This window comes from Homo sapiens, chromosome 19 (assembly GCF_000001405.40).
Source record: "Homo sapiens chromosome 19, GRCh38.p14 Primary Assembly".
In the NCBI taxonomy this organism is placed as follows: domain Eukaryota; kingdom Metazoa; phylum Chordata; class Mammalia; order Primates; family Hominidae; genus Homo; species Homo sapiens.
The window spans coordinates 51,012,321-51,021,586 of NC_000019.10; the positions used below are offsets into that span (position 1 = coordinate 51,012,321).

At 54.9% G+C, this 9,266-nt stretch overlaps 1 protein-coding gene across 9 annotated transcripts; it reads right to left on the bottom strand.

Moving 5' to 3' along the window:
• Positions 419 to 7,777, bottom strand: KLK10 (kallikrein related peptidase 10). 9 transcript variants are annotated; one of them, XM_047439102.1, is made up of 6 exons: positions 7,748 to 7,777; positions 6,723 to 6,819; positions 4,790 to 4,970; positions 3,562 to 3,836; positions 3,097 to 3,230; positions 419 to 2,632 (listed from the first exon to the last, which is right to left on the bottom strand). In XM_047439102.1, the coding sequence occupies exons 2-6, from the start codon at positions 6,808 to 6,810 to the stop codon at positions 2,480 to 2,482; spliced, it is 831 nt and encodes a 276-aa protein (XP_047295058.1). In that variant the 5' UTR covers positions 6,811 to 6,819; positions 7,748 to 7,777; the 3' UTR covers positions 419 to 2,479. The 9 variants fall into 9 exon arrangements, with proteins under 9 accessions (XP_047295058.1, NP_001070968.1, XP_006723352.1 ...); NM_001077500.2 differs by having other exon boundaries at positions 6,723 to 6,822; XM_006723289.4 differs by lacking the exon at positions 7,748 to 7,777 and adding an exon at positions 7,500 to 7,541.
• Positions 7,778 to 9,266: the final 1,489 nt, after the last annotated feature.

Sequence of the window (9,266 nt, forward strand, 5' to 3'; positions counted from 1 at the left end):
ACTCTCACGGGAGTCTAATTAAGCAGGTGTCTCCATTTCACAGAGTGAAAACTGAGGAAGAGACAGCATTCAAGTAATTTGCTCAAAGTCATACAGCAAAGTGATTGAAATGCATTTCCTTCTCTACCTGGTGAACTCCTACTTATCCTTTAAACTCCTGCACAAATGTCCCCTCATTGAGAAGCCTTTCCTGACTCCTTCAGGCACAGCCTGTGGACTTGGTGTGGTGCACCCCATACCCCCTTCTGTTACAGCACTGATCTATTTGTGTTATGTGTTCACACAGCAACGGGGGTGACTTCTGTGTGCCGGGCACAATACAGGAGCTTAGAAAATCACAGTGAACAAATATCTGAATCACTGCCCTCACGGAATTTGTGGGGAAGGGTGACATAGACCATTATCAAGTAAACACAAATGAGATAATTTCAGGTATAATAGGTGCTATTAAAAAAAAAAACAAACAAACAAAAAACAGAGCATCGGGACTGGATGACCAAAAGTGGACTCCTATAGCCTGGGCAATTCAGGAAGGCCTCCCGGAGGAGGTGACTTTTGAGTGGAGACCTGAATGACAGGAATGTAAGACTGGCCTGTCTCCCTGACCTAACTAGCAGCTCCTTGAGGGTAGTGCCTGGTCTGATTCATCTTTGAGGCCTGGCATAAGACGTGGCTCGATAAACATTGTGGAGTGACTAAAGGGACGGGTGAGTTGCCTTTAATAATGAATCGAGTTTTCAAGTTTCCACCGACCTCGCTTCTGGTCTTTGGATGACAAACCCAGCTGATACGCCTGTCTGACATTTCCTGCGTGTGCTAATGGGGGCAGAATGGGAAAGAGGCCACGGAAGGGAGCTGTGTGCTCAGACCTTGTACATCAACCTCCTGTGGGCTCTGCAGGGTGGGGGACCTTGTGATCACCCCTACGTATGTCCCCAGCACCCAGCACTGGGCCTGGCACATAATAGATGCTCCATAAATTGGTAACTGAAAGGACAAACAAACAAACAAAAACCCCGTGCTTAATGGGAAATTTCTGTTGTGCCTATATTCAGCTAGCTTATGTTACTGCTTCAAAGTTCAGGATAAGCTGAGACACTCAAACTTCTTCTTTTTTTGAGATGGAGTTTTGCTCTTTTGTCCAGGCTGGATGGAGTGCAATGGTGCAATCTTGGCTCACTGCAACCTCTGCCCCCCGGGTTCAAGTGATTCTTCTGCCTCAGCCTCCCAAGTAGATGGGATTATAGGTGCCTGCCACCATGCCTGGCTAGTTTTTGTATTTTCAGTAGAGATGGGATTTCACCATTTTGGCCAGACTGGTCTCGAACACCTGACCTCAGATGATCTGCTTTCCTCGGCCTCCCAAAGTGCTAGGATTACAGGCGTGAGCCACCACACCCAGCGGACACTGAAGCTTCTATTAGCCTTACCTGGATTCTGTGTATTAACTCCCCTTCCCTCCCCCAATTTCAGGGAGAATCAAACAATTCCTCCTCCCAAGTTTTCAGGACGAAAATCTCACAGCCAATTAATAACAGACAAACCAAAGATTTTCCCCTAAATGTCAGAGGGAGGTTTCTTGGCACAAGCTGGGCAGTTGAGGTGGCAAGGGTTTCCCAATCTTCACTACCCCCTCGGCCCTCTGGTCTTAGAGGCTGGGATAGAAGCAAGGTGAGGTCCCTTGAGTTCAGTGGCCTCATGAAGGCAGAGAAGGTGCTAATGACTCAGGGCCAGCCTAGCTCGGAGGAACTGGTGTTGGGTGGAACCAGAAGTGGGAAACAGTGGGAGATGAGAAGGAAGTGGTTAAAAGGTGTTTCCTGGGACTTGGAACTAGGGTGAGGAAAATGATTCTTCCATCATCCCTAAGGGTTGGGGATGGAAGGTTGGGACTGGGGGCTACCCTGTGCACTTCTTCCCTGGACACACGCTTTCACCGGGACGTGGTCAGATCACGACAACAGGTAACCTTTAGTCAGAACTCACCACCCACTGTGTTAAGCCTTACATGACAATCACCATGAAGATTTACATACACATGTTATATCATAGTCTCCTCACAACATGTCTAAGAGGTAGGCACGTCATTGTTCCCATTTTGCAGATGAGGAAACTGAGGTTCAGAGAGGGCACTTGGCTTGCCCAAAGTCACACAGCAGGGAGTGGCAGAGGAAGTCAGGTTGGGTGACCCCAGTAACTGCTCTCAGAGGCTGGGTGATGACCGGCTTCCTGGCTTCTCTGGAATAAACCTTTGCCACCACTTCCTGCATTTCAGCTTCAGTACAGGCAGAGAATGGGGATAGGTGGGGGAATGAGGTGAGAGGGGAGATGTTTAGAGGTGTGGAGGGCGGCAGAGGTTTGAACAGTGCAGACAAGGGGAGAGTTCAGCCGACTGGGGAGGAAGAGGATGGACGATGGAGCCTCTGGGCATCTGGATCAGCAGGAGCATAACATCTGGATCAGCTGGAGCGTAGCATCTGGATCAGTTGGAGCGTATGACTTTATTGATCCAGGACATGTATTTGCAGATCTGGGTGTAGACAGCTGGATGCTGGGCAGAGCCACAGGGGTAAACACCCCACGAGAGGATGCCTTGGAGGGTCTCGTCACAGACCAGGGGGCCTCCAGAGTCACTCTGGGGGTGGCAGGAAGGAGAGATCAAATAAATGTGCCAACGTGAGAGCTGTCACTTTGGGATCTGGGGCAGTGGTGGGGAAGGAAGGAGTTGGGTTGGGATAAAGACGAGGATGGGATGGGGTTGGAATTAGGTATGAGCTGGAAGGTAGGAATGGAGGTGGACTTCAGGTTATGGGAGGTTGGGCTGGGGGATGAGAATGAAGGCACAGTGAGACTGGGGTTGGGATTGTAGTTCATGGAAGGTGAGGGGATGAAAATGGGCTTGGAGATGGGAATGGGGTGGGGTTGGGATGGAAATGGGATTGAGGATAGGGATGAGGAGGGGGTTAGGTCTGGGTAAGAGTTGGGGTCAAGGATGGGTTTGGGAATGGAGTTGGGGATCGGGCACAGGGTCTGCTCTTTTCCCATAACCTCCCTGTCCTCCCTCCCAGGAGTCAGAGACTCTCCCTGTTCAGACCCTACCTGGCAAGGGTCCTGGCCCCGGTCCAGTCCAGCACATATCATGTTGTTGGTGACCACGCCAGGGTAGAAGACCTCACACTCTTTAGGGCTCAGGATAGTGATGCTGGAGCAGGTCAGGCCCTTGTTGTACTTCACTGAAGGGAGAATATGCCAGTAATCCCTGGGTCCAGCCCCCAATCCTTGGGGAGCCAGGAGTCCAGATACAAGACCGTTTCTATCCTAAGCCCCAGCCCCTCCTCCTTCAGACTCAAGAATCCTGGCCCCAGCCCCTCCCCACTTAGACCCAGGAGTCCAGGCCCCCAGCCCCTCCTCCCCTCAGACTCACAGACCCAGGCATCTAGGACCCCAGCCCGTCCTCCCTCAGATCCAGGAATCCAGTCCCCAGCCCATCCTTCCTCAGACCCAGGGGTTCAGGCCCTCAGCCCCCTCCTCCTGAGGTTCCGGCCTCAGAGCCCCAGCTCTTGCCTCTCCGGGCGGCCGTGGTGCCCCAGCCAGCAACCTGGCACTGGTCTCCGGGCTGAGCACAGCGGTAGGGAAGCTGCAGGGCCCGGACGCGGGGCCCCAGCACTACGGGCCTGGCCAGCTTCAGCAACATGAGATCGTGCTCATCCGTTCGCCTTGGCAGGATGGGGCCTGAGCCCTGGTGGTACTTGGGATGGACAACAGAGCGAGTGGTCCGGCGGAGCTGCTCTCCCTGAAGAAGCAGCAGGTGGTCATCCCCTACTCGAGCCCACAGTGGCCTGGGGGAAGGAAGAGGCATGTGAAGGCAAACCCTTCATAGGGACTGGGAAAGCAGGTGGGCAGTGACGCAGGGCCTGGAGATAGGAAGAGTCTGAGGGAAGAGGGCCTTGTGGGAGAAGGGGACCTCAGTGGACATGGGGAGGAGGAATCAGTTGTTTGAGCTCTGAGGATCTGTAGGAATTGAGGAGGGCTGGGGGCCTGGACACCTAGGTAAGCCTTCCACATTTTCTTTTCTCTTTTTCTTTTCTTTGTTGAAACAGAGTTTCGCTCTTGTCACCCAGGCTAGAATGCAATGGCGCAATCTCGGCTCACTGCAACCTCCACCTCCCAGGTTCAAGCAGTTCTCCTGCCTCAGCCTCCTTCCTGAGTAGCTGGGATTACAGGCACCCACCACCACACCCAGCCTTTTTTTTTTTTTAATTTTTTTAAAATTTTTTATTTTTTATTTTATTTTATTTTTAGTTGAGAAGTGGTTTCACCATGTTGGCCAGGCTGGTCTTGAACTCCTGACCTCAGGTGATCCACCCGCCTTGGCCTCCCAAAGTGCTGGGATTACAGGCGTGAGCCACCGAGCCCAGCCCAACTCCACATTTTCTCTGTGGTAATACCCAACCCTTCCTCCTTCAACGGGGACTCACGAAGTGAACCTTTTCCTTTAGTTCTAAATTCCTGACCACACCGGACCCTGGCTTCTATCCGTTGCAGGCAACCACCTCCTCCTAGAGCTCAAGGAGAATCAGCGGGAGAGGAGTGACGGGCCCAGAAATGCGGAAAAGGACCACACCGCCCCCTGGCGGCCACAGCGCAAGCCCGGTCTCTCCTCCTGCTGGAAGGACACCGGGGACCGCACCTCCAGCTGTGGGAGTTCCGAGAGACCCCGCCCTGCCCGCTCCTCCCTGGAGGCCGCCTCCACAGCCCCCCGTGGCGTCCTCGGGGATGGATCTCCTCCTACTTGTTTCCGCAGTGCGCGGCCGTCAGCACCCAACTCTGGTCCACCAGGACACCCGCGCAGTGGAACGAGAGGCCGTTGAAGAGCGAGACCTGCCAGGGCTGCGAGCCGCGCGCGCACGGGGAGCCATAGGCTTCGGGGTCCAAGCGCGTGTCGTTTTGGGGGAGCAGCGCCGCCTCTGCGGCTGGAGAAAGAAAGGGGACGGAATCAAAGCACGGAGGGCAGGGTCTGGGTTTGGGGTTGGAGCTGGGCTGTGGCACTGGACTGCGTTCGGGGACGGGGGACGCAGCCAGAACGCGAGGGTGGTAGGGAAATATTGGGGGTTTCGCGTGCACCGAAGGGAATGGGAGGAGAAGAAGCGCGTGAAAGTGGAAGGAAGCTGGGATAGGGTAGCGTGGAGTAATGAGACAGAATAGGGTGGGTCTGGAGGGCAGGGACTGAACGCAGCGCGCCTGGAGAGCTGGCTAGAACGTCGCTGGTCGATAGAGGGGCGGGGATTGAACGCGGCGGGGAGGTAAGGGTGCGGGGATAGAACTCGGGGATCGGGGAGAGGAAGGGGTGTGAATAACAAAACGGGATTGAAAACCAGGAGAGGGGTGGGGCGCAGTGGTTTACGCCTGTAATCCCAGCACTTTGGGAAGCCGAGGCGGTTGGACCGCTTGAGCTCGGGAATTCAAGACCAGCCCGGGCAACACAGCAAGACCCAGTCTCTACAAAAACAAACAAACAACAACAACAACAACAAAAAAGTAGTCGCGGAGGCATGCGCCTGTAGTCACAGCTACCTGGGAGGCTGAGGTGGGAGGATCGCTTGAGCCCAGGAGGTGGAGGTTGCAATGAGCCGAGATTGGGCCACTGCACTCCAGTCTGGGCGACAGAGTGAGACCCTGTCTCAAAAAAAAAAAAAAAAAAAAAAAAAGCCGGATGTGGTGGTGCATGCCTGTGGTACCAGCTACTCTGGAGGCTGAGTATCGCTTGAGCCCAGGAGGTCGAGGCTGCAGTGAGCTCTGATTGGGCCACTGTACTCCAGCCACGGAGACAGAGCACTGCCCTGTCTCAAAAAAAAAAAAAAAAAAAAAAGAAGGAAAGAAAAAGAGAGAGAAAGAAAAAAACAAGAAAGAAAGAAGAAAAAATAAGAGAGAAAGTAAAACAAGAAAGAAGAAACAAACGAAAGGAAGGAAGGAAAGGAAGGAAGGAAAAGAAGAACGAAAGAAAGAAAAGAAAGAAAGAAAAAGAAAAAAGAGAGAGAAAGGGAAAGAGGAAGAAAAAAAGTGAGGGGAGAGGGCAAAAAGCGGTAAGGCAAGACTCAGGATAAAACACGGTGGTGTGGCCGGGAGCGGTGGCTCACGCTTGTAATCCCAGCACTTTGGGAGGCCGAGGCAGGCGGATCACGAGGCCAGGAGATCGAGACCACGGTGAAATCCCATCTCTACTAAAAATACAAAAAACTAGCCGGGCTTGGTGGCGGGCGCCTGTAGTCCCAGCTACTCGGGAGGCTGAGGCAGGAGAATGGTGTGAACCCGGGAGGCGGAGCTTGCAGTGAGCCGAGATCGCGTCACTGCACTCCAGCCTGGGCGACAGAGCGAGACTCCGTCTCAAACAAACAAACAAACAAAACAAAACACGGTAGTGTAAAATGGAGCGGGGCCGGGATGGGGCGGCGTAAGAGGAGGAGAAAGAACGCGGCGAAGAGTCCACGGAAGAGCGAGGATCCGGGTGGCAGAAATCGGACAGGGCCTGAGTGGGGCGGGTCACCCAGGGGCCGAGCCAGAAGAAGGGCCCAGCTGACTTGGGGGCGGGCCGTGCTCCGGAGCGCTGGGTGGGTGCTGGGGTCTCGGGGGAGGAGAGGTGCGCGGGGCTTGGTGACGGGAACACATTCTCCTCCCGCCCGTGCCTCCCACCGGCGCCTCTCCCCGCCCCCTGCCCCCGACCTTACCCCAGAGTTGCGCCATCAGCAGCGGCAGCAGCTTCGCCAGAGCCCGGGCGCCAGAGGCGGCGGAGAGGTGGAGGTGCGGAGCTCTCATGGCCAGGATCTGCTGGGGTGTGTGCAGGGGCGGGTTAAAACAGATGCTCCGTTAGAGACCCCCACCTCGCCGCGCTCATCCGCCCAGCCTGGGCCACCCCAGCCCGCAAGCACCCTTTTGACCTGCAGCCGATAACCCCAGGGGCTGGCAGACGGGAGATTCGGGCTGGAACAGCGGTAATGGGCACAATTACCCTAATGACGCCCCTCGCGGCATCTTCCCGTCCTCCCTGTGCCCGAGTGGAGCGCTCTCCGCGCCCCAGCTACCCTGGCTGCAGCCACGCCGCGCCCGAGGTTTCCCCCTCCTTCACGCGCGGGGTGGGGATCCGAGGCTCGGAGCCAGTGGGAGCCTCTTTCTCAACCTCACAGCGGGGGGACTTCCGCGTCCCGCAGGTGGAGAAACCGAGGCTCTAAGCCGGCTCCTGCCTGTGGCCCGGGGGTCCCCACCCATCCTCTCGCAATCCACCCCAACCCGGGTGGGGTGCAGGTAGCTTCACCTGGGAGTCGCCGATAGGAAGGAGGGAGGGGACCCAGACGTGCCTCTGCCCTGCCTGTGGTCTGCCGCTGGTATCCTCTGCCCAGGGACCCCTGGCGGGACCTTCCCTTTTAACCCCAAGGAGTCCGGAAGCTTCTCCACCCTCCCCTACCCCCACCCCCGGGCTCCCTCCCTTTCCCTCTGTCTAATTGTACCGTGGGTGAGGCTGGCACTCCTGGGTCCCAGATTCCTGCTCTGGGAGGGGCCCTGGAATACAGGCTTCTCCCAGTGCCCGAAACGCCCCCTTTTCATCCCTTTTGGAACTGGCTTCCGTGGGGATTCTCCGGGTCCCGGTGCCAAGAAGGCTTCCCAGGCGCGGGGAGAGGGTTCACGTCCCCAGCAAGGCTAGGGGTGGCAGGATGAGAGGCCACTGAGCAAGAGGAAATCAATGGGAAGTGCATACCTAGAGTGACAATGTGAGAAGCCAGACTGTGGAAGAGGAAGGAGGAAGGCCTAGAGATAAAGCAGGTTGAGTAGGAGGGACAGAGGCTGGCTTGAAAAGGGAGATTGTAACAAACCAAGGCTAAAAGAGCCAGAGAGAGAGAGAGAGAGAGAGAGAGAGAGAGAGAGAGGGAGGGAGGGAGGCGCCGAGGCTAAGAGAAACAGAAACAAGGAAAAAGGGAAACCCACGCCCACTCTGTGGCCGTGAGTGAGCTCTGTGTGTGTCCCAGTGACTAGCCCATGTGCGTGTTGGGGGGGGCTGTGGCTCTGCCTCATACCCATGTGTGGCCATCTCACACCCTCCCTGCCATCTGTGTGCCACCAGGTGACACACAGGCCCCTGAATCATAGGAGGTCAAAGCTGTGAGGGGCATCGGCATCACCTCAGCCAACTCCCTCATCTCAGGTGAGGAGTGAGAGGCTCAGAGAGGGCAGAGACTCACAGGAGGTCACACAGCAAGTCCACTTGACAACCAGAAGGCCCTGGTTCCACTCTGGGCTCCTATTGCTCATGCCAGCCACTTCTGCGAGGTGAACAGACCATCCCAAAAGATCCTGAGCTGGCCGGGCGCGGTGGCTCACGCCTGTAATCCCAGCACTTTGGGAGGCCAAGGGGGGGCGGATCACGAGGTCAGGAGTTCGAGACCAGCCTGGCCAACATAGTGAAACCCCATCTCTACTAAAAAGACACAAAAATTAGCTGGGGATGTTGGCACAGGCCTGTAGTCCCAGCTACTAGGGAGGCTGAGGCAGGAGAATTGCTTGAACCTGGGAGGCAGAAGTTGCAGTGAGCCGAGATCACGCCACTGCACTCCAGCCTGGGTGACAGAGCAAGACTCTGTCGCAAAGAAAAAAAAAAAAAAAGATCCTGAGTTCTGGATTCTCTCCGTGGGACATCCTCTTCAGAGGCCATCTAACTCAGTGCTGCTCAGCTGAACTTTCTGCAGTGATGTTTTATATGCACTAGCTAATCCAGCCACCACCAGTCACATGTGGCTATCCAGCCTTGGAGATATAACAAGTGAGACAGAGGAGTTACATTTCTGGCTTTATGTAATTTTAATTGGAAGAGCCAGCTGCGGTTAGTGGCTACCATATTGGCCAGCAGAGGTCTCCACTATCTAATTACCTATCATGGAAGTTGGAGAAAAACAATAAGCTCCTTTGGTTAGGTCTTAGTATGTGCAGGCTAACTGACTTCTTTACTTACTGTGTTATACTTTTGCATGCAGCATTTTACAGGAAAGGAAACAAACAGAGCCTTACTCCAGGAACATCACTTGGTAATTAAGAGATCGCCTTGCTTCAGATCCTTGCTCTCCTAGCCACGTGACTGTGAGCAAGTGACTTTGCTTCTCTGTGTCTGTTTCTTCAACTATAAAATAGGTATGAAAACAGTACCGACCTCACAGGGTTTTGTGAGGATTAAGTTGATACATTTGAAAGTGCTTGGAGGCCAGGCACAGCGACTCATGCCTGTA

Coding starts and splice junctions, on each gene's coding strand:
- KLK10 (XM_047439102.1), bottom strand. CDS start 6,810: ATGAGAGCTCCGCACCTCCACCTCTCCGCCGCCTCTGGCGCCCGGGCT. Junction 4,971..6,722: donor GCTGATGGCGCAACTCTGGG/GTAAGGTCGGGG, acceptor TTCTTTCTCCAG/CCGCAGAGGCGGCGCTGCTC. Junction 3,837..4,789: donor GCCGCGCACTGCGGAAACAA/GTAGGAGGAGAT, acceptor TCCTTCCCCCAG/GCCACTGTGGGCTCGAGTAG.